The sequence below is a fragment of the Homo sapiens genome, chromosome 12 (genome assembly GCF_000001405.40).
Source record: "Homo sapiens chromosome 12, GRCh38.p14 Primary Assembly".
NCBI lineage: Eukaryota > Metazoa > Chordata > Mammalia > Primates > Hominidae > Homo > Homo sapiens.
Genome location: NC_000012.12, coordinates 57721698 through 57743581, shown reverse-complemented (window position 1 = coordinate 57743581; position 21884 = coordinate 57721698). Strand labels below are relative to the sequence as shown.

At 56.4% G+C, this 21884-nt stretch overlaps 1 protein-coding gene and 1 long non-coding RNA gene across 5 annotated transcripts, besides 6 other annotated features; one reads left to right on the top strand and one right to left on the bottom strand.

Moving 5' to 3' along the window:
• On the top strand, nucleotides 1421-19821 carry AGAP2 (ArfGAP with GTPase domain, ankyrin repeat and PH domain 2). Of its 4 annotated transcripts, none has more exons than XM_005268626.3 (19): nucleotides 1421-1670; nucleotides 8155-8213; nucleotides 8903-8990; nucleotides 9178-9263; nucleotides 9409-9556; nucleotides 10603-10737; nucleotides 11070-11179; nucleotides 11615-11773; nucleotides 11940-12026; nucleotides 12112-12216; nucleotides 12629-12791; nucleotides 12968-13087; nucleotides 13815-13943; nucleotides 15205-15264; nucleotides 15497-15645; nucleotides 15811-15901; nucleotides 16000-16222; nucleotides 16353-16608; nucleotides 16788-19821. In XM_005268626.3, the coding sequence occupies exons 1-19, from the start codon at nucleotides 1511-1513 to the stop codon at nucleotides 17028-17030; spliced, it is 2571 nt and encodes an 856-aa protein (XP_005268683.1). In that variant the 5' UTR covers nucleotides 1421-1510; the 3' UTR covers nucleotides 17031-19821. The 4 variants fall into 4 exon arrangements, with proteins under 4 accessions (XP_005268683.1, NP_055585.1, NP_001116244.1 ...); NM_001122772.3 differs by lacking the exon at nucleotides 1421-1670 and adding an exon at nucleotides 4840-6503 and having other exon boundaries at nucleotides 16788-18385; NM_014770.4 differs by lacking the exon at nucleotides 15205-15264.
• Nucleotides 1622-1681: an enhancer, noted in NCBI's record as "active region_6552". NCBI's record gives its function as "activates an Ori minimal core promoter by ATAC-STARR-seq in GM12878 lymphoblastoid cells {active_cell/tissue: GM12878}" and the evidence as "EXISTENCE:reporter gene assay evidence [ECO:0000049][PMID:35858748]".
• Nucleotides 2215-2294: an enhancer, noted in NCBI's record as "active region_6551". NCBI's record gives its function as "activates an Ori minimal core promoter by ATAC-STARR-seq in GM12878 lymphoblastoid cells {active_cell/tissue: GM12878}" and the evidence as "EXISTENCE:reporter gene assay evidence [ECO:0000049][PMID:35858748]".
• Nucleotides 5468-5687: a silencer, noted in NCBI's record as "fragment chr12:58131678-58131897 (GRCh37/hg19 assembly coordinates)". NCBI's record gives its function as "represses an EF-1alpha promoter that drives an FKBP-Casp9 reporter gene in an ReSE screen in K562 erythroleukemia cells {active_cell/tissue: K562}" and the evidence as "EXISTENCE:reporter gene assay evidence [ECO:0000049][PMID:32094911]".
• Nucleotides 8753-9952: an enhancer, noted in NCBI's record as "CDK7 strongly-dependent group 2 enhancer chr12:58127413-58128612 (GRCh37/hg19 assembly coordinates)". NCBI's record gives its function as "activates an origin of replication core promoter dependent on BRD2, BRD4, P300/CBP, MED14 and CDK7 cofactors, with strong dependence on CDK7, by STARR-seq in HCT116 cells {active_cell/tissue: HCT116}" and the evidence as "EXISTENCE:reporter gene assay evidence [ECO:0000049][PMID:35650434]".
• AGAP2-AS1 (AGAP2 antisense RNA 1) lies at nucleotides 15226-17342 on the bottom strand. Its single transcript, NR_027032.1, has 2 exons — nucleotides 17204-17342; nucleotides 15226-16617 (listed from the first exon to the last, which is right to left on the bottom strand). It is a non-coding gene; the product is annotated as an AGAP2 antisense RNA 1 (long non-coding RNA).
• Nucleotides 15491-16124: an enhancer, noted in NCBI's record as "H3K27ac-H3K4me1 hESC enhancer chr12:58121241-58121874 (GRCh37/hg19 assembly coordinates)". NCBI's record gives its function as "activates a minimal SCP1, AML or CMV promoter by ChIP-STARR-seq in naive H9 embryonic stem cells {active_cell/tissue: H9 hESC(naive)}" and the evidence as "EXISTENCE:reporter gene assay evidence [ECO:0000049][PMID:30033119]".
• Nucleotides 16125-16760: an enhancer, noted in NCBI's record as "H3K27ac-H3K4me1 hESC enhancer chr12:58120605-58121240 (GRCh37/hg19 assembly coordinates)". NCBI's record gives its function as "activates a minimal SCP1, AML or CMV promoter by ChIP-STARR-seq in naive H9 embryonic stem cells {active_cell/tissue: H9 hESC(naive)}" and the evidence as "EXISTENCE:reporter gene assay evidence [ECO:0000049][PMID:30033119]".

The window sequence follows — 21884 nt, the reverse complement described above, 5'->3', positions numbered from 1 at the left end:
CCCGGGTTCAAACAATTCTCCTGCCTGGCTCAGCCTCCCGAGTAGCTGGATTACAGGTGCCCGCCACCACACCCAGCTAATTTTTTTGTATTTTTAGTAGAGATGGGGTTTTGCCATGTTGGCCAGGCTGGTGGCGAACTCCTGACCTTAGGTGATCTGCCCGCCTCGGCCTCCCAAAGTGCTACGATTACAGGCGTCCGGTGGAAACAAAGTAATTAGGTCAAACTACCCGCTACCTCCTACCTCCCACCCCCTCACTCCCCACCTCCATCCCCTTCCTACCCCAAGTCCCATCTTCATTGTCTCCTTCAGTTCCTCATCTACCTTCTTTTCTTTGAGGTCCTAAATCAAGGGCAAGACAATGATATTAGAAGGGGAACTGGTTGACAAGCATTTTGGTTGTGTGGTGTAGTGAAAAGGGTATCAAAATTATAACCAATCTGGGCTTTATGTGCTTGGTAAAAAATAAAAATAAAAATGTAAAAATAAAATCAGAAGACCTAAATCCATGTCTTTGTTTCACCTCTTAATGGCTTCTCTGAGCCTTAGTTTCCTTTTATGCAAATAGGGATAAATAATCCTACTCCTCAGGGCTGTCATGAGGATAATATATATATGAAAGTATGTTGTAAACTATTAAGTGTTATAGTCATGTTAATTATTATGAAAGCGATTGGACATGGAACATGGTAGTTTTTGTCTTTTTATAGGTTACTTTCCTCCTTCATAACTGATTTTCCCCATAATCACTTGGCCTATTTATTTATTTTATTTATTTTTGACGTGGAGTTTCGCTTAGTCACCCAGGCTGGAGTGCAGTGGCGTGATCTTGGCTCACTGCAACCTCCACCTCCTGGGTTCAAGTGATTCTCCTGCCTCAGCCTCCCAAGGTGCTGGGATTACAGGCATGAGCCACCACGCCTGGCCTCACTTGGCCCTTTTAAACAGGAGGTGGCCTCAGTGGGTAGCTGCCTGAAAAAGGGTTACATCGTAAGACATAAGGATACAGGGCTCATTGGGATGTGTAGAGAGGGCAATGGGTACAAGTGTATACTAGAATGCAGGGCTGTGAGGGTAACAGACCAAATGTGCATGAATTCCTGTGAGAGTTTGAAATCCGCAGGTCATCAAGAGTTTAGGATTGCACCTCGGACCTAGCTTGCCATATTCTCCCAGAACCAACACCCATCTTAATTAGCCACCTCCCACAGGAGGCCCTGGGACACTGTTAAGATTTCTCCATCCACCTGGCTGGGAAATCATAGCAGGGACTGGCTGGCAGGGTTGATGGGCCAACACTAGAGGGGGTGGGAGGTGCAGGAGGTAGTGCTGTCCCAGGCTGTGGGTTTGAAACTCACCAGTCAGGAAGTGAGGTCGACAGACGGAAGGGCGGGCAGGGGCGGGGAGTTCTGGGCACAGCAGAAGGGGCCTTCTGAGGTTTGGGGGCTGTAGGGCCATGGGCCTCAGGGCCAGAGGTGGTTGTTAGCCTGGCAAGACAGGTCTGGGCAACATGCATGCCCAGAGGCAGTTCGTTGTAGCTGCAGTGAGAGCAGAAGTCAGACGACATGAGGTGGCCAAGCAGGCTCTAAACCGCCTCAGGAAGCTGGCAGAGAGGGTGGACGACCCCGAACTCCAGGACAGCATCCAGGCCTCATTGGACAGCATTCGAGGTAAGAGAAAGGTCAGCCCTCAACTTGGGTGTATCAGGGACTAGCAGGTGCATAGAAGGTTTAGCTGTATCATATATCAATTCCCAGTCAGCTACTTCCTAGTCCCCAAGATGGGACTCTGGGAAAGAATACATTTAGGGAGGATGGAAAAAGACATGGGAGGTATCATTCTTTCTCTTTCCCTGCTCTGATCCTTCTCCCAGGAGATCAAAATACAGGTCCCTGTTGAGCTGACCTTCTTGGCAATGAAGAAATGTGTGAGCATGGGGAAGATAGGCTGTGACAGACTCATGGTAGACTTGTTCCCTGCCTGGGGAGTCCAGAGCAGGAAGCAGTCTGGGGCAGCAGGTTCTGGGACTGGATAATGAGTTCATTCCCAGGACCCACAAAGGATCAGTGACCTCTTGTTCTCCAGCTGTAGAGAGAAACACATGCACACACATACACACACACACACACGCATGCACATTGAAGTACACCATGCAGAGAATCTCAGGCTCCCAAGCGCATACTAACTCTCACACACTATGCTCTGCAGAGCCAAAGTGCAGATAGGTCCCCAGAACTCTTCTTGGTCCCCTCTCCTCCCCTTGCTCCTGTTCCTGTCTTCCCCCCACACACCTTCCGCTCTACCTCCTTAGTGCCATTAGAGCAAGTGATGACAACACAGGGAGGAAATGCTGCCATGGCAACACCATCCGCCACATCCTCCTGCCCACCCCAGGCTTCAGTCCTGTGGTGGAGCCCTGGCAGGAACAGCTTCTCTCCATCCACAAGGCCCTACCACTGAGGAACTGGTGGAACTGGAGGTTGTTCCAGCTCGCTGTCATTCCATTCACCTCTGATGCAGCAAAGAGCTAACAAAAGCAGCCTTCTTTGCTCATGAAAGGTGTCTGGTGGAAACACTTCTTCCATCATATCCTGATCTCTTCCAGCCATTTCAGTCTTCTCCATTGTTACCTGCCTACCTGGGTGGTTGTCAAGAGATCATTCTTTCCCTCAAGGACACCTCCTGCCAGACCTCTCTGCTAGTACACCAGAGTATAACTTGGGGAAGGAACAGCTTGCTTTGGATGCCTAGTGGGACAGTCTGATGATCCCCTTCCCATTGTTCTTCGGAGGCTAGTGCCCCTCTCACCTCCTGTCCCATACCCTTTGCCAGGAACTACACCTGAAGCTTCCCCTGACAGCCTTAGTGTTTGGAAAGGCAGACCAAGGGGGAGTGGGCCATGGGGCCTCCTAGGGAGAAACTCTAAGCCCCACCCCTCTCAAAAATAATAATGATAATAATAATAAAGGAGAAGAGCGGTTTAGGCCAGGCAGAAAAGCTGTGCTTAGCTCTGGAGAGGGAGGAGGGTGAGGAGGGGTGGAGGTGGAAATCCCTGAGAAGGCTTCACTCCTCATAAGTGATTTGTTTTACTCCTTCTCTAAGAATTAGTATTCTGTTCCCATTGAACATAAAGGAAAACCGAGGCCATCAAAGGAGGGAAGTTTAAGCCAGAGCCAACAATTCTCCTTCACCCTCTCCATCAAAAAACACTACTGAAGGGTCTCCTGTCCTGGGGATGGTGTCATCTTGGTTCTGTAGGGAGGGAGGGAGAAACTGCTGAGCCCCAGGACAGAACATTGGAGGGATTGGATACAGGCCTCTGGGAGAACAAAGGGCTCCTGGCATCCTGGCTCAGCCCCCCCACCCTCAGCCCCCCACCAGGCCAAGCACGCTGCGGGCTCCTGCCTCCAAGAGCCGCCCACGGCAGCACTTATTATAGTCTCAGCTGCGTCAGGAGGGTGGGACGCCAAATCAGGGGACTGCTGTGACTCCCCAAGTCCCGGGAAGGGGTCTCCAAGGCTGCAGAGAGACCTTCCTTCGCCCATCTTACCCCACCCCCAAGGGGTCTCAACCTCTTTTCCACTTTGGCCTAACCACTTCAGGATTCTCACCTGGCTGGAGGATAGAGAGCCTTGAACTCCAAGACCCCTAGAGGGGTGGGGGACACGGAGCAGACGGTTTCCATTCACTCTGCCTGCCTCCTCTTTAATCTTCTGAAAGAATCCCACTCAGCAAACCTCAGGAGACTGAAAGGGAACCCTGAAGAGGCCGGCTCTCACTGCCTCAACTGAAGGGTCCTTATACTTGGGGAGTGAAATCCTCCACCTGTGGGTAGCCAGGTGTCAGGGCAGTGCCTCCACTAATTCAGCATCCCGCGGTTGGTCCCCTACCCACCATACACACGGATTCCTCTCTGCTTCTGCCCGCTGTTTCTGAGGCACTCTTGGAGCTACGGTTGCTATGGAGACTGGATGCATTTTGGCATGGGGGGGTATCAGTCTAAGACACATCCTTCTCCCTCCTCCTAGAGCTGGAGCCTTTGACTTACCCTGTGGCCTGGGCTCCTCCAGCACTCAGATCTCTCCCTTCTCTCCTACCCTGCTAAGTTCCATGTTTGTCCCCATCCCTGGGGAACATTTTCCAAGTTCACTTTGGGACAGTCGAGCTCAAGTCTTGGCCCCGTCAAAGTATTAAATGTGGTGGTGTGAGTGGGAAAGGGAGCTGGGTCATGAGAACGGGAACCGTCCAGGTACCTGGGGGAGACAAGAGATCCTGGGGGAAGGGATTTCAGGGCCCCCACTTTCCCACTTCATCTTCCCCAGAATTGGCAGTGACCCTGGGTTTGCTCTGTTTACCGCGGCCCCTGTCCACCCAATAGATCGATTTTCACCCTTATCCCTAAATGCCATACCTCACAATCGCGCTTCCTAACCTTGGTGCGCGAGAGGAGGGGGCTAGGTTGTTGGAGGAGGTGAGTCCAAGTCCCAGGAAATCCAGCCCAGGATTTGGGAGAGAAATCCAGCCCTGGATTTTGCACCGCCCTCGCAGACATCGGTGCTGGTGGAGAAAAGGTGGGGGGGAGATAGGGTGGGGGGGCCTGGGGGCCGCCTCCTCCTCAATGTGAGGGGAGCGCCCGGACACAGCGCGCATCCGGACCAAGCCGAGCCCAGGCGAGGCCCCCGGACTCTTCGCCCGGATCTCACGCCCCTCCCCTCCCAGACCCCAGACCCGTGGGTTCCCACCCACCTCCCGTTCCCTCTTTCCTCCCCCGCCGCCTCCTGTATCTCCATCCCCAGCATCCTCCCCGCGCCCCTGCGAATCCCCCGCACGGCCAGCCCCACTAGCTTCCCACCCTCCTCTAGACCCTCTTTCCGACCGCATCCGCGGCCCCTGTCCCTTGAGTCCCAATTCCCCGCCCCTGCCTCCCCCGCACAGGTTCGTTTCCCCTAGCCTCCGGTCCCCTTTTCTGCTCCCTTTTCCTCTCTCTCCCCCATTTGCCCCCACTACTGTCCTCCCCGCCCTCCCCCACCCATCTCAGCGCCCCCACCCAGGCCGGGGTGGACGGTCCGGCGCGCCTCCCTGGAGCAGCACCAAGGTCCCGGGGCTCCAAGAGGGTGGGGGCGCAGGGCGGGGAGCATGGGGAGGGGGCGCCCCATGTGATGGGAGGGGGGCGCAAGCGGAGGCGGCGGAGGCGGCGGCGACAGCGGAGCCGGGCCGGGGGCTCAGCGGGGTCCGGGGGCTGGGGGCAGCGAGCAGGGCGGCCCCATGGCCGGGCCCCCCTGAGGCAGTCCGGGGGAGTCCCCTCCCCTCCCCAGCTCGGGGGTCTCCGGGCCCCATGAGCCGGGGCGCGGGCGCGCTTCAGCGCCGGACAACGACCTACCTCATCTCGCTGACCCTGGTTAAGCTCGAGTCGGTGCCTCCGCCGCCGCCTTCTCCGTCTGCGGCCGCGGCCGGCGCCGCCGGTGCCAGAGGCTCCGAGACTGGGGATCCTGGCAGCCCCCGAGGCGCGGAGGAGCCGGGCAAGAAGCGGCACGAACGTCTCTTCCACCGGCAGGATGCGCTGTGGATCAGCACGAGCAGCGCGGGCACCGGGGGCGCGGAGCCCCCAGCCCTGTCCCCGGCTCCGGCCAGTCCGGCCCGCCCAGTCTCCCCCGCTCCCGGCCGCCGCCTCTCCCTCTGGGCCGTCCCTCCGGGACCCCCGCTCTCCGGGGGACTGAGCCCCGACCCCAAGCCTGGGGGCGCCCCCACCTCCTCCCGGCGCCCCCTGCTCAGCAGCCCGAGCTGGGGCGGCCCGGAGCCCGAAGGCCGGGCGGGCGGCGGCATCCCTGGCTCATCCTCTCCGCACCCTGGCACCGGCAGCCGGAGGCTCAAGGTGGCGCCTCCTCCGCCGGCTCCCAAGCCTTGCAAGACCGTGACCACGAGTGGAGCCAAAGCCGGCGGGGGCAAGGGCGCGGGTAGCCGCCTGTCATGGCCCGAAAGCGAGGGCAAGCCCAGGGTCAAGGGGTCAAAGAGCAGCGCCGGGACTGGAGCTTCGGTCTCTGCCGCCGCCACCGCCGCCGCCGCCGGGGGAGGGGGCTCTACAGCTTCGACCTCTGGTGGGGTCGGGGCTGGGGCTGGAGCCCGAGGGAAGTTGTCCCCTCGGAAAGGCAAGAGTAAGACCTTGGACAACAGTGACTTGCATCCGGGACCGCCTGCCGGCTCTCCTCCTCCGCTAACCCTCCCACCAACTCCGAGTCCAGCCACTGCTGTCACCGCTGCTTCCGCGCAGCCCCCCGGGCCTGCACCTCCAATCACTCTGGAGCCTCCAGCTCCGGGGCTGAAACGGGGCCGGGAGGGGGGCCGAGCATCCACTCGTGACCGCAAGATGCTCAAGTTTATCAGCGGCATCTTCACCAAGAGCACAGGAGGGCCTCCTGGCTCCGGGCCCCTTCCCGGACCCCCCAGCCTGTCTTCTGGCAGCGGGTCCAGGGAGCTGCTGGGCGCCGAGCTCCGCGCTTCCCCTAGTGAGTTGAGTCAGGGCTTGAGAACAGGGAGGGAAGGGTACCTGGAATGCTCAGCTTGGGGTGGAGGAGCGAGGTCCAGGAAACTAGGGAAGCTTTTCTCTGGGGTGGGCGGATGAACCAAGCTCACCCCTCTGTCAAGGATTGGGGCAAAGAATAGGAGTCCTGAAGCGGGGCGAGTAGCTACATTGTGCGACAGGAGAAAGGACTTGATTTCAGAGGGACTCAGCCTCAGAGCTTTCTGGGAAAGTAACGTCCTTGATCAGAGTGACTAGAAAATTGCTCCCAGAGAAGCCCAGGACCCCACTTCCAGCCTCAGCTGAACTCTGGGAGCATGGAAACGGGGCTTTGCCGTGTTTAGAGCGACGTTGAAGGTGAAGGGGATGAGGAAGCCTCAGTTTCCCCTGAGCACTTGGGGCAGGTGGCATGACAGTGACCTTGCAGGCAGCTTCTCGCCAGGGACTAGTCGTCCCCTGGGCTGAGAGCAGGCTAGTGATGTTTTTCGTGCGGTGAAGGCGGATTGGGCGGTACGCGAGTCCGCGGGGGCTGGAACGTGCAGAATATTTAAATGTGAAGTGAGAGGGGGCGGATAGGAAGCCTCACTTCCCCCACTGCCCACCCCCTCCCCAGAGCCGCATTGAAACCCACCCGGGGCTGACCCTGGAGTGAGTCAGGTGGGGCGGAACTGCTGCAAAGGCAATCCGTACCCCGGGAGACTTGGGAGGCGGTACGGGGAAGGTAGTGTTTTTTACGGGGGCAGGGTGTCTATTATTATTACTATTTTCCTACTGGAGGAGATAGGCAGGAGACTCTTGGTTCGGCTCACACTCCCGGGAGAGGAGGCGGGTCCGGGAGCGGAGGCGGCCCCCGGGGTTTGGCTCCGGAGCGGGTGGGAGCAGATGGCTCCGGATCCCAGAGTTCCCGCCGCAGCTGCGGCGCCCCGGGAACGTCCGGCCGGTGTCAGGCGCGGGGGCTGGACCTGGCTGGCGGAAGGAGCATCCTTTCCCCCGGGCCTGTGGCTTCTCTCGGCCAGGCGATGGAGCCCTTCCCCACAGTTCTTTTGGAGGGCGTTTGTGGGGAGGGTGTGGGAGATGGAGGCATAGGAAAATCCTAGCTCTTTCCCTTGGGCTGTGGGGAGGGGTCCAGGGCTACAGTGCCGTTGACCTTGAAGAAGGGGAGGGAAACCCCTCACCTCAGTTTCTCTCCTGTGGAATGGAGGTTGGGGAAGACACACTCTCTTCTGTGTTTCAGCACCTCCTCCCAGGGTCTGCCCTGGGAACCAGTGGGTTAGGGAGGAGCTCCTCTTCTATTCTTTTTCCAGAGGGAAGAACCTGCCACTGTCAGAGCCCTGGTCTCCCTGTCTGGGGCCAGGACCCGCGTTTGGGGATGTGCTTTAAGGGAGATGCCAACTGAAGTATTTTTGTCTTGCTAGCTCCGTTGCTAAGCAACCACTGAGCGGCAGCAACAGCTGGGGGAGAGTGGCTGGGATGGGAGGCCTGGGGACCACCCTCAAACCTGTCTGTTGCACACACCTCTCCAGTGCAGGCAGGGTTGGGGGGGGGTTGGAAAGCTGCAGAGGGAGGAGGGGTGGCTCAGTGTTGGGGGTCCTTCTGAGCCAGGAGCCTCCCCTCTTACTGCCCTTCTCCCGTTACAGAGGCTGTGATCAATAGCCAGGAATGGACTTTGAGCCGCTCCATTCCTGAACTGCGCCTGGTAGGTAACCCAGTCCCCTTGCCTATAGGGAAGGCTGACCTCCCACCCACTGCACTCTCAGCTCTCTCCCTTCACCTCTCCTTCTCTCTCTCTCTCTCTTTGGGAATAGGGAATCGTTTTCCAGTTCTCCTGAGAGTCTGCCTTCATAGCACCAACATGGGGTTTGCTACAGCCTCCTCACAAGTTTTTCCTATCTAGTCTTTATGCAGCCATCCCCTTTTTCCTGTTTGTTCATGGTCCTCCTCCAGGCTTCTCATTTCTGGTATCTGCCCTTTGGCCTTCATGTTGTACTGCCTAGAATTGGGTAAAGTTTTCCAACTAGTGCCTAGAGCTGTGACATGCTACAAACACACACACACAGAGACACACACACACAACATATCTAGTATGTTTTCTAAACAACCCAACACACAAAAAAGCTGGTACTGAATTGCTGACATTCTTCAGCTCGTGCTCCACTTTGAGCTTGGGATCATTTCTTACCACACTCATGCCCTGATCCTCCCAACTGCTCTGATCCCCCCAGCTGCTCTGATCCTCCCAACTGCTCTCTCTGGAATGACTGTCATCCAGGCCCTGTAGGGTCCTGCTTGGATGACTTATCTCTCTGGGTTTTCTGGAGTGTCCAGACCCATGCATCCTGCCTTCTCTTATATCCCACAATTTCTGCTCCACAACCTTGCCCTCAGGGTGTGCTGGGCGATGCCAGGAGTGGGAAGTCATCGCTCATCCACCGATTCCTGACTGGCTCATACCAGGTGCTGGAGAAGACAGAGAGTGAGTTCTGAAGAGCCATAGTAAGCTAACCATTGGGGTCAGGGATCCAGGAGTGAGATCAATGATTAGGCAGGTGTGGAGACCAGGGGGGAAGGATGAGGCCATAATAGCAAAAGCACTGGGAGCATGGGGAGGTTTGGTGACCTGTCACCTCTGACCTGTTACCCCTTCCAACTCTTCTGGACAGGTGAGCAGTACAAGAAAGAAATGTTGGTGGATGGACAGACACATCTGGTGCTAATCCGAGAGGAAGCTGGGGCACCTGATGCCAAGGTGAGGGTGGAGGTGGTGGGGGACAGGCTGGCTGGGGTCAGCACTGGCCAAAGGAGAGGGCTCTGGTTTCCCAGGTCTTCATCTGGATTGGGTCCAGAGGAGTAGACCTGTCTGACTTTCCATTTGCTCCCTCACTCCCCGCAAGTTCTCAGGCTGGGCAGATGCTGTGATCTTCGTCTTCAGCCTGGAGGATGAGAACAGTTTCCAGGCTGTGAGCCGTCTCCATGGGCAGCTGAGTTCCCTTCGCGGGGAGGGACGAGGAGGCCTGGCCTTGGCACTGGTGGGGACACAAGGTAAGGAGGGGTTAGGAAAGCACTGCTTTCAAGGGAGGCCCTAAGGAGGCTACTGGGATATTGCCCAACATGGGTGAGAACTTGGTAAGGTGTGGAAATGGCCACTTGGATTATAGTACCCTTCTGGAGGGAGCCTGGTCTCCAAATAAGGGAGTCATGAAACCAAACAATAACTTCCCAAGGTCTGAGCAGAGAAAAGGGGATCTCCAGGGAGGAAAGGACAGCTATAGTAGCCATCTCCTTGCCTCTCCTGAAATGTCACCTACCTTGTGTTCTGACACTGCCATTTCCTAGTGCCACCATCCTAGGACACAGAAAATCTCAAGTCCTAGGGTGGATAGGAAACCTTTTCCATCTTCCTTTTTGCGACAGCTGGGTAAGGCTGACACCTTTTAAAGGAACTTATCCAAAAACAAAGTGAAAACACAAAGGAAATGATGATGAAAAGAAGAGAGCAGAAAACCTTTTAGTTCTCAGAGAAGTGACTCAGAGGCTCCCAGACTCTGCCAGGGCCAGGAAATGCTTTTCCAGCACTCCCCTGTGTCGAGCTGGTGGGACTTGGTCTGGATGCCTGTTCTGCTGGTGCCTATCTCCACCTGTTGCTTGCATCCTGGTTTCTTGCTGCAGAGTGGGCAGTCCAGCCATGACCCATGGGCACCCAACCTTTTCCTAGTTCACAAGCTGGTGTCCTCCCACCAGTTCAGGGTTCTATGGATTTGCAGGGCAGGGTGATTGTCGCTCGCGCCTGGGTCTCAGCTATGTAGACCTTGTCAGGAAGCACCACTCAGCAGCTCTGGAGTATTCCTTGAGGACACACACACACACACACACACACACACAGCTCACCCAGCTAGGTGTGTGAACTGGGCCCAGTACTCAGAAAGGGCTTATGTACTCCCATTCCACCTGGTCACAGAAAAGATGATCTCTCACACCCCATCCCCAGTGGACCCAGCCTGAGGGCCCAGTGCAAGGATAAGGGAATTGTGAAAAATCGAACAAGGTGGGGCTCCTTGTTCAATCCTGCCCCTTTCCTGTCCCCTCAGACAGGATCAGTGCTTCCTCCCCTCGGGTGGTGGGAGATGCTCGTGCCAGAGCTCTGTGCGCGGACATGAAACGCTGCAGCTACTATGAGACTTGTGCAACCTATGGGCTCAATGTGGATCGGGTCTTCCAGGAGGGTGAGTGTAGTGATCTCCAGCATATGTGGGAAGCCAGAGCAAGGGGCCTGGGATATTCTCAGTGGTCAGGCATCCAGGCCTCTCTCTGTGAGTGACAGGAAATTAGCCTTTGTGGGAGGGAGGAGAGATCAGGGAGGCCAGAGAAGGTTTGCTTAATAGTCGCAAGGTCTTTCTGGGCTGGAGGAGCTGGCAAGGCCACAGGTGGCATGGAGGCCACAGTGACAAGGAAGTTGGGTCCTGTGTTGTCTACTGGGGATTTCTCAAAGCTGGGCATGGAAGGGTGGTCTTGGGTATCTGGCCTGCTCACACCTCCTTCCGTCAACTCCCCTCAGTGGCCCAGAAGGTGGTGACCTTGCGCAAGCAGCAACAGCTTCTGGCTGCCTGCAAGTCCCTGCCCAGCTCCCCAAGCCACTCAGCTGCATCCACTCCGGTAGCTGGCCAGGTGAGTTGGGGTTTCAGAGTCTGCAGAGGGGCCGGTAAGATGCAGAGGGGCTGGGGATCCTAGGACAGGTACAGAGTACCCAAGGAGGTTCAGGGAGTGGGGAAACAGATGGAAATGGCAGTGAAACTATTGGCAGAAAGTGCATTGGACTGGAAATCAACCAGATTTGAGACATCATTTGCAGTGTCCTTAAGCAACTCACCTAACCTCCCAAGGCTATCAGGAAGATTGTATGACACAATACTTGTGAATCAACCTTTACAACATTTAAAGCATTGTCACAATGTTAGTGAGGATTTTAAAAATTATTAATGACAACATAAATAAATGGTGAGGTGATCAAGGAATGTCTCAAATTCCCCATAACGAGATATGAGTGTAGCTTGGTGGAGTAGGGGGCATCTCAGCTCTGCTGACTCTTCCATATGTGCCCAGGCTAGTAACGGGGGCCACACTAGCGACTACTCTTCTTCCCTCCCGTCCTCACCGAATGTTGGTCACCGGGAGCTCCGAGCCGAGGCAGCTGCAGTGGCTGGATTGAGCACCCCAGGGTCCCTGCACCGGGCAGCCAAGCGCAGGACCAGCCTTTTTGCGGTATTGGACATGGACATGCTGACCCCCATCCTCCTGTCCCCCATGACCTGCCCATCTTCCCTAGTCCCTAGACTCCTCTGTTGGGCCCTTCTTCATCTATCTTCCCTATCGTCACATCAGTGTATCCCTCTATCCATCCTCAAACTGATTCCAATAACCATTCCAGAATCGTCGGGGTAGTGACTCCGAGAAACGAAGCTTGGATAGTCGGGGAGAGACAACAGGGAGTGGGCGAGCCATCCCCATCAAACAGGTGAGTGATCCAGGGGCTGGGACAGGCTAGGGGCAGCTGGTCTTAGTTGGCTTTTTTCCCACATGTGTCTTTCCCCTTTCTCCAGAGCTTCCTACTAAAACGAAGTGGCAATTCCTTGAACAAAGAATGGAAGAAGAAATATGTAACCCTGTCCAGTAATGGCTTTCTACTCTACCACCCCAGTATTAACGTGAGTGGCAGAGACTGGGCCACATTGGCCAGCTTTGGATTTCCCTCAAGTTCTACCTGTCTATGCCTCTGACAAAGCACTAACCTCATTTCTAGGAAGTGCTAGTCCTCTTCTCTTAAGTTTAGCAGGCATGTGTTAAGAGCCCACCATGTGCCCATGCCAGGAATGTAAAGGTAAATACATTGCCCCAGGAACTTGCAGTCTAGTGGGAGAGCACCCAGGAAGGGAACGCTTTCTGGAGGAGACAATTGCTGGGCCAAGTCTGATGGGCCCATCCCCTAGATGTTCATCACAACCCATTTGGCCCCCAAGACCCCTCCCCAGTCCCTCTCTATTCTGTACCATGTTGACTGCTTCCCAGCATACCAAGGACCCCAACCTTCCCTACACTCTCGGCCCTGTACCCCTCCAGGATTACATCCACAGTACCCACGGCAAGGAGATGGACTTGCTGCGAACAACAGTCAAAGTCCCGGGCAAGCGGCCCCCGAGGGCCATCTCTGCCTTTGGCCCCTCAGCCAGCATTAACGGGCTCGTCAAGGACATGAGCACTGTCCAGATGGGTGAAGGCCTGGGTGAGTAAGGTTTATGACATAGGAGCAGAAGAGGGGCCAGGGCTGGGGAAAAAGAGGGGTAAGAGGGAAGAGGGGGCTGGCACTGGGCGAGTAGGAAGCTGGGTGATAAAGAGGGACCACATAAGGAATGGGGCCAGAAGAAAGAGGCTCACTGAGGTTTCATCTTCTTCCGACAGAAGCCACTACTCCCATGCCAAGCCCTAGCCCCAGCCCCAGTTCCCTGCAGCCACCACCAGATCAGACATCCAAACACCTGCTGAAGCCAGACCGGAATTTGGCCCGAGCCCTCAGCACGGGTCAGTGGGGATGACCTTCCATCTGCTGTCTTCCACACCCAAATAGGATGAGTGTGGGAAATGAATATGGGGTGAAGGCTTGGAGGCTGGAATAAATGCATGAGTGAACACATGGAGCCCCACACATGAATAAGTTCAATCATACCATGTCTATCATAATGGTTAAGACAAGTGGACTCTAACGTCAACTGCCTGAGCTTGAATCCTGGCTTGCCACATGGGCAAGTTACTTGACCTCTCCGTGCCTCAGTTTCCTCATCTGTAACATGGAGATAATAGTTTCTACCTCAGAGGGTTGCTTTGAGGTTTAAACAAACTGAGAATATTGTCTAGTACATAGTCAGCCATGTTTGACATGTTTGAAAAAAAATATATATATATAGTATGCAAATAACATTGTAAACAAATGATCCTTACAACAGTTTTGTCAGGTCAAGATTATTACCCCTATTTCAGAGATAAAGAAACTGAGGCTCAGAAGATTAAGTGCCTTGCTCAAGGTCTTAAGGCCAGTAAGTGGCAGAACCAGGATCTGAGTGCAGGACTGACTCTAAACCTCTCATCTCCCTGCATCCCCAGGAATGATCAAGGGGGAACTCCTGGAGAGGGACAGTTGAGGAGGGGAGCCCTAAAATGCCAAAGCTAGTTCAGGGAATGAGACAGGCTATCAAGAAATCAGGAAATCTGTGGAGGGGGCTACTGAGGCAGCTGTGTCTTCCTCCCTAAGACTGTACCCCATCTGGAGACCTGAGCCCCCTGAGTCGGGAACCCCCTCCTTCTCCCATGGTGAAGAAGCAGAGGAGGAAAAAATTGACAACACCATCCAAGACTGAAGGCTCGGCTGGGCAGGCTGAAGGTGAGGCTCTGGCAGGCACTTCCACTCCCACCCAGAACCCTCATCCCCAACATCAGCTCCCTGGCCTAACTCCTGCAGCAGGAGGAAAAGTGCCTGAGCTGAGTGCTTGACTACCATTACCACTGCACACAACTTAGTGAAAGAGTGGATGGACATCCCCCAGCCCCTGTCCTTCTTTCCTTGTTCCCCAGCTAATTCCTTTCCCCAGCCCCTGTTCTCAACGATGTCCATGTCTATAGCTCCTGCTCCCTCTCCTAATGACGTTCTAGTTCCTCTTCCTTCCCTCAACTCCACTTACCACCCCAGCCCCTGCACCCGGCAGCCCCGCTGATCCCCAGTGATTCAGCCCCTTATCTCAGCATCTCCCACTGATTCCCCAGATCCTGGATTCTGTGACCACCCAGCCCCTTCTCCCAATAACTTTCTTTCTTTTTTTTTTCTTTTCTTTTTTTTTTTTTTTTTTGAGATGGAGTCTCACTCTGTCACCCAGGCTGGAGTACAGTGGTGCGATCTCGGCTCACTGCAAGCTCTGCCTCCCGGGTTCACACCATTCTCCTGCCTCAGCCTTCCAAGTAGCTGGGACTACAGGCACTTGCCACCATGCCCGGCTAATTTTTTGTATTTTTTAGTAGAGACTGGGTTTCACTGTGTTAGCCAGGATGGTCTTGATCTCCTGACCTCGTGATCTGCCCGCCTCGGCCTCCCAAAGTGCTGGGATTACAGGCGGTGGGGATTACAGGCATGAGTCACCGTGCCCGGCCTTCTCCCGATAACTTTCTATTGCCAAGTGCTCCCCAACAGCCCTTGACCATAGTGATCCCCATTCTTGTCCCTCAGTGATTCCCCGCACCCCCACCGCCACCAGCCCCAGGGCCCTCTCATCTCAGCCCTGCGCCCCAGCTTCTGTCCCCTTCCCCCGTGTTCACTCAGATCCTGACCCTCCCTTCTTCTCCCAGAGGTCCAGCTCCTCGCTGGTCTTGATAACCCATCCCTGCTGCCCCTGCTCTCTGCCGGGTGCTCAGACCCAGGTTCCAGATCTGCCTACTCTCATGGCTCTTGGCTTCTGTTCCACTCTGCTCCGGGGCCACTGACTTTAGTTCTGCTTTCTCTCCCCATCTGTCTGTCCTGCTTTGTCTCTGGCACTCTGTCACTATCTCTCTCCATCTCTCCATCTACCTGTCTTTTTCTCCTTCTTTCTTGGTCTCTCTTTCTCTGTTCTGCTCTCCATTCTATCTCTATCTCCTTCGCTTCGGGAAACCAGCCAAGCGCAAAATGTGGAAACTAAAATCCTTTGGTAGTTTAAGAAATATTTATAAAGCAGGTAACAAGTGGGGAGCCGGGAGGGGCGCTCAGCTGGGGTGCAGAAGGGTGGGGGTGCCCCCGCCTTCCCCTGCATGTGCTCGGGCTTCCTGCTGCCCCCCACCCTCTGCTTTCCCTACCCCCACTGCCCCACTCCCAGGGGCTCGGGATGGACATCAGGGAGGACGGTCTTGGGAAAGGCAGCCCCTGCTTGAACTCTGTCCCTTAATGACCCCATCCCATCCCCCACTCAGAGGAAAACTTTGAGTTCCTGATCGTGTCCAGCACGGGTCAGACGTGGCACTTTGAGGCAGCCAGTTTTGAGGAGCGGGATGCCTGGGTCCAGGCCATCGAGAGTCAGATCCTAGCCAGTCTGCAATGCTGTGAGAGCAGCAAGGTCAAGGTAAGAGTTTGAGGTGGAGTGGAGGACTGGCCGCAGGAACTGACCCTGGTGCTGACGGCCATTGGCAACGACACGGCCGAAGTCGTGTGAGAGGAGAGCAGAGGTGTCTGAGAAGGAGGTGGGGCTTGGAGGCAGAGTCAGTGCCAACCCAAACCCTCTCTGCAGCTGCGCACAGACAGCCAAAGCGAGGCCGTGGCCATCCAGGCGATCCGGAACGCCAAGGGGAATTCAATCTGCGTGGACTGCGGGGCCCCCAGTGAGTGCCAGGAGGCAGCGGAGGGGCTAGGGAGTGTAGTGAATGCCGGGGTGCCTGTGCTGCCCGGCTGGGAGCCGACCTCTACGCTCCTTCCGCAGACCCCACGTGGGCCAGCTTGAACCTGGGCGCCCTCATCTGCATCGAGTGTTCTGGCATCCACCGCAACCTGGGCACACACCTGTCCCGCGTTCGCTCGCTGGACTTGGACGACTGGCCACGGGAGCTGACCCTGGTGCTGACGGCTATTGGCAACGACACGGCCAACCGCGTGTGGGAAAGCGACACGCGAGGCCGTGCCAAGCCCTCGCGGGACTCTTCGCGGTAAGCGTGAGGGAACAGAGCGGGGGGAGGGTTGCTGAGGGTGTGCGAACCTGAGACGGTCCCGTGGGTAGGGGCAGAAGTCCTGGCTGGGGGTCCCTAGAGCCTTTTCCGTTGATCCCTGGTCTTGCAGGGAGGAGCGCGAGTCGTGGATTCGCGCCAAGTACGAGCAGCTACTGTTCCTGGCGCCGCTGAGCACCTCGGAGGAGCCGCTGGGCCGCCAGCTGTGGGCCGCCGTGCAGGCCCAGGACGTGGCTACCGTTCTCCTGCTTTTGGCCCATGCGCGACACGGGCCGCTCGACACCAGCGTAGAGGACCCACAGCTGCGCTCCCCACTCCACCTGGCGGCCGAGCTCGCCCACGTCGTCATCACGCAACTGCTGCTGTGGGTACGTGAGCTGGGGGGAGGAAAGGGGGTCTTTGAGGCTTCATCTCGGAAAACGCCTGGCGCGGGAAAGCCCGAAATTCCCAGAGGGACCCCGGAAGTAGGCTTGGCCATGTGGGGGAGGCGGCGCCGGGTGTGGGCGCCCTGGGGACGCGCGGTCACGCGGCCGTTTCCGCCCTCTAGTACGGCGCGGACGTGGCGGCCCGTGACGCCCAGGGCCGCACGGCGCTGTTCTACGCCCGCCAGGCTGGAAGCCAGCTGTGCGCCGACATCCTTCTCCAGCACGGCTGCCCGGGTGAGGGCGGCAGCGCGGCCACCACGCCCAGCGCGGCCACCACGCCCAGCATCACCGCCACGCCCAGCCCCCGCCGCCGGAGCAGCGCCGCTAGCGTGGGCCGCGCCGACGCCCCGGTTGCGCTGGTATAGTTGCCCAGCGGGAGAGACACCCCCATCCCCACGCGGGCCGGGCACGACCACACCGGGCGGACCGCTGGACAGACGCACCCACTCACCTCTCCGATCCGCACCCCGCCCCACGGGAGCACTTCCTACCCCCACGAGGGCACAGCCCCCACGCCTTCCAGAAGACACAAACTCACCTCCCTCTCCCCAACGAGGCATGGAGACCCCAGCTCAACACGCCCCCTCTCCATTGTTTCCACACTCGGATTGCTCTGGGTCTACCCGCTCGGGGTTCGCGGAAGGGGAGGTCCCCAGCGGTACGGGCTCCTAGGCGCTTGGACATGCCCGCTTGTGCCCCCTAGGGGCGGAAAGAAGACCCGGTCCTGCCCGAGCTCAACAATCCCAGGGCGGGAGCCCATACCCAGGCTGGCTCCTGGGGCGACGCCACGCCAGAGGGAGGGTTTAGTACATGGGAGGGCTAGCCCCGGGACTTGGGGCCAATACGGAAACCCTACCCCTTCCATGCTCATCTCACTGCCCAGTGAAGGGGGCAAGGGCAGCGAGGGGCAGGACCCCTGCTGCTCATGGGGGTGGGGGTTCCCAACCCTTTCCGTGAAAGGGACCGTGAGTAGTGGAAACCAGGACGTCCCCTACACCTACCCATGGGTGGAAGCTAAAGAGTCCGGGGGGAACCAAGAGCCTGGGTCCCTCCCACTACTATCTTGGGAGGGAGAAGGGATGGAGCAGGAGCGGGCTAAGAGGGCTGCGGGGGCCTTGTAATTTATTGCTTTGTTCCCCAACATGGGGATGGGGGCGGGCAGGGGCGTGGGGAGGGCGTTTTGGGGTAGGGGAAGCCCAGGGTGGGCAGGGGGTGGGTTGGGGTGGGGGTGCTCTCGGGTTGTGTCTGTGACCGTGACTGCGTACCTGTGACTGTGCAGCGCCCGTGGTGATCTGGGGTAGGGGGCACCCCTACAGTGGGACCCCTCCCCCATTATTCTTTCTGTCCAGCCCCTCCCTCCCACTGGAGCAGCTCCAGAGCCATTCCTCACCCCCGTGACCTCTCCCAGCCAGGGCTGAGAGGATTCGAGGTGGCTGGGAGGGTTTCCAGGCCCCCTGCCCCTTCCCCACAAACTGGGTGATAGGGCGGACTTACCTGGCCCAGCCCTGCCTCCCTCAGCCAACCCAGCCCTTGGGCTGTCTGTGTCAGTGGTTTCCGGTCTTTTTTTTTTTTTTTTTTTCTGGCTAAAATAGTTTGCAAAGGACCAGGTAATTGGGGAGGGGAGAGAGGTGGGGGCAAGGGGGAAATGCCCCCCCATCTCCTTGGAGGCAGTGGTGTGAATCTTCTTCAACAGCAATTAAAGAGGAAGTGATTTTGTCTAGGGGGTGAGCTGCTGGTCTGTTCTTGGAGGCAGGTCAGGGCATGGCCTTGGTCAAGATGGGGTACTGGGGTTGGACAGGGACAGGCAGAGGTGCCTCCCACTGGGGCTGGTGGCAGGACAGTACCCATGGGCATGGAGGTGGTTCCATCATGTACAACAGTTCTGGGTTCATGTAGTGGAGGACGTGGGCAGGTTGGAGTCAGTGGGGACCCTGGGAACAGAGAAGGCACTGACTCTTAAGATGATGCCAGTCCTGGGAGAGTTGGGATATGGTACTTAGAGGAGAGGACAGGCCCATGGAGAGGGGTGGGAAGATGGGACAGCTTTGTTTAAGAGCAGGAACTTTGGAGACAGATCTGATTTTGAAACCTGCCCCTCCACTGCACAGCTAGGGGACCTTGGTGGCATCTGTTTATCTGTATTCTGAACAGTATCTGTTCAGAGGGCACCTGAAAGGCGCTCCAGCTCTGAGGAGGGCTGCCCCGAGCCAGCCTGCTCACCGTGAGCACTAGGTACCAGAGTAGAACATAGAGTAGGGGTTCCTCCCCTGGCCTCGTCAGGGGGTGTTCCAGAGGGAAGGGGTGGGAGACCTCCTGGGAAAGATTTCCCAGCTAGCTGCAGAGGTCCCTGGTGTCCACAAACTCAGTGTCAGCTGATGCAGGCATTTATCCACCTCCGTGCCATCAAAGGGACCACCAAGGCCACAGCGGCCTGAAGCCGGTGCTGCCTCCATGAGCTGCAGTGCCACTAGGCTCAGCACATAGCCAATCCTACCATTTCTCGAGGGCAGCTGAAAGTGTTTACTCAGGTAGAGGGGCTGGACAGGGTAGGGTTGGGTCAGCAGCCAGTGCAGGTTGGGCACAGCCATATGTTGTTATCTACCTTGAGGAGTTAGTTGGTAGCACCAGCATCTTTGGGTAGAATTGCTTCTGACCCTTGGTGCCCACCAGCCCCAAGAGGTTCAGCTGCAAGTGTGCCACTGAACTGAGGACACAGCACCAGACCTGAATCCAGTTCACATGGAGGCTGCGGCTCTACAGGGTCCTAGGCTGTGACCACCCAGCACAGCGGCGTGACCCAGGAAAGGTGGATTCAACAGTGCAGGTGCAGTGACAAGTACAGAGGCAGGTGTGTGGTCTGGGCAAAGCGACAAGAGGGGGGAGGTAGCAAAGAAGATTGGACTAGAGGACCTGGCCGTTCCCCCTTCACCTCCAAGACCCTGGACTCTCTTATTTCAGCTCCACTCCTTCCTCGTGGCCAAAGTTTGCTCCCTTCTTCAGAAGTTTGGGAGTGTGAGAGAATATGGGAAGGAAATAAGGACCCTGGAGAGAATGAAATTGCCTTCAAAGAGCAAGTGGGAAGTTCCTTTCATTTCCAGCCAGTGAAAAATGGTCAAGGTGTCAGCAAACCTCACAACAAATCCCAACACCAAGTAATCCACTTGCCTCTTGTCTTAATGGGGAGTGTCTTTGGTCTTGCGGGGGAGATGTAAAGGGTGGTAGTGGATGGAATGACAAAATATCAAGCCCTCCAGGTTATGACAAAATAGGAGCCCAGAAGGGGACTCCCTGGGTGGGTGAAGGAGAGCTGCTGCCCCTTTGTGCCCATGCCCCCTTCACAGCTCACCCTGGGCTGCCTTGCTTGGATGCCCTGCCATGCAGGATGCCCTATTGCCATCCGCCAGCCCTCCCTGCAGCCCTGCTGGCTGCCATCTGCCACACCCTGCTCCCCTCCTTTTGTTTGTCTTAGCACAGCTGGGGCAGACCGACCTTCACCATGGGAGTGCTGCCGCCAAAAGCCAAAGGAAAGGAAAAAGGAATTTCGATTGAAAGTACAAAATGATTAACAGAGTGAGATTTCCAGAACTCTGCTTTCTGGTGATGCTGAGACTCCATCCCCAGCAAATCAAAGCACAGCCCTCCTGCCCCAGCCCCTTCCCATTCTGAGCTTCTGATCAGCTTTGGGGACTCCTTCTGAGACTCTTGCCTCCAAGTAACCCAGTCTTTTCAGAACTCAGGAGTTGGCTTATAATAGAAAGCTAGTGAGCACTTACTTGGGGCCAGGTTCTGTGCTAAAAGCACGACATACACTCTATCTCATTCAATCCTCGCAACCATCTTAAAAAGCCAGTACTGTTGTCCACAATTTACCAATGAGGAAACAGCATTTAGAAAGTTAAGTGACTTGTTCAAGGGTCCGCTGGTGGGAGATGAGGGGTGCGGTCTGGGAGCTGCATTCTGACTACTGCTGCCCTCAAGGCAGTGTCTAAGCTCTTGTCCAGCTGGAGCATCCCTCCCTCAGGGGGCGCAGATGGACCAGAGGAAGCAGGGTTTTCTGAGTCTACCTATTTACACTTCAAAACAAAACAACGTAAGCATAGCATGCACAGTAAGCACTAGTCCACGTTCAGCAAGAGCTTCCTTCAACAGTTGAATCCTTCACTCTCCATTTATAGACACATGGGAGTTCTGGGCCCTCTATCCTTTTTTTTTTTTTTTTTTTTTTATTTGAGACAGTCTCACTCTGTCGCCCAGGTTGGAGTGCAGTGGTGTGATCTCAGCTCACCACAACCTCCGCCTCCCAGGTTCAAGCGATTCTCCTGCTCAGCCTCCCGTGTAGCTGGGATTATGGGCGTGCGCCACCACACTCGGCTAATTTTTTGTATTTTTAGTAGAGATGGGGTTTCACGATGTTGGCCAGGCTGGTCTCGAACTCCTGGCCTCAAGTGATCCGCCCGCCTCAGCCTCCCAAAGTACTGGGATTACAGGGGTGAGCCACTGCTCCCGGCCCCTCTATCCCTTTTCTTATCCTGTGAGCCCGGGGGCAGCCTTCAGCAGAAAGGCCGTTCACCTCAGAGACCAGAGCAGAGGACTCTACCTGAGTCCTCTGCACTCAAAATTAGCAGAGCATGGTGGTGTGTGCCTGTAATTCCAGTCACTGGGAGGCTGAGGCAGAATTGCTTGAACCTGGGAGGCAGAAGTTGCAGTGAGCTGAGATCAGGCCACTGCACTCCAGCCTGGGCAACAGAGTGAGACTCTTGTCTCGAAACAAAACAAACAAAATCAGAGTCCTCTGCACTGGGAGGAGGCATGTGGGGGGACCCATGCCTGCACTTGGTAGTGAAGAAGAAAGGGAGACACCAGGCCCATGTACCCTTGGGCATACTAAGAAACTGGCATGTGTGGGCAGCAGCCCTCTCTCTGCGCATGCCCAAAGGTGGAGGTCTTTTTGGAAAATGTTGAAAGGACAGGTGGGTAGGGGTGTGGATGACAAATGGAATCTGGAGCATGATATGGGAGAGACCACAGCAGAAGGAAGATCCCCGCCGGGGGGAGCTCCATGGTGTGCATTTTGGCTTTCAGGGTATAAAGGGGGAAACAATAGGGAAAGACTTGGTGCAAAAGGGAAGGAACAGAAACAGACAGATGAGAAAAGGAAGATGACAGCATTGCAAGTGTTTCTTTCAATCCTTGCCAGGCCAGGCTTTGTTTAGCTACCC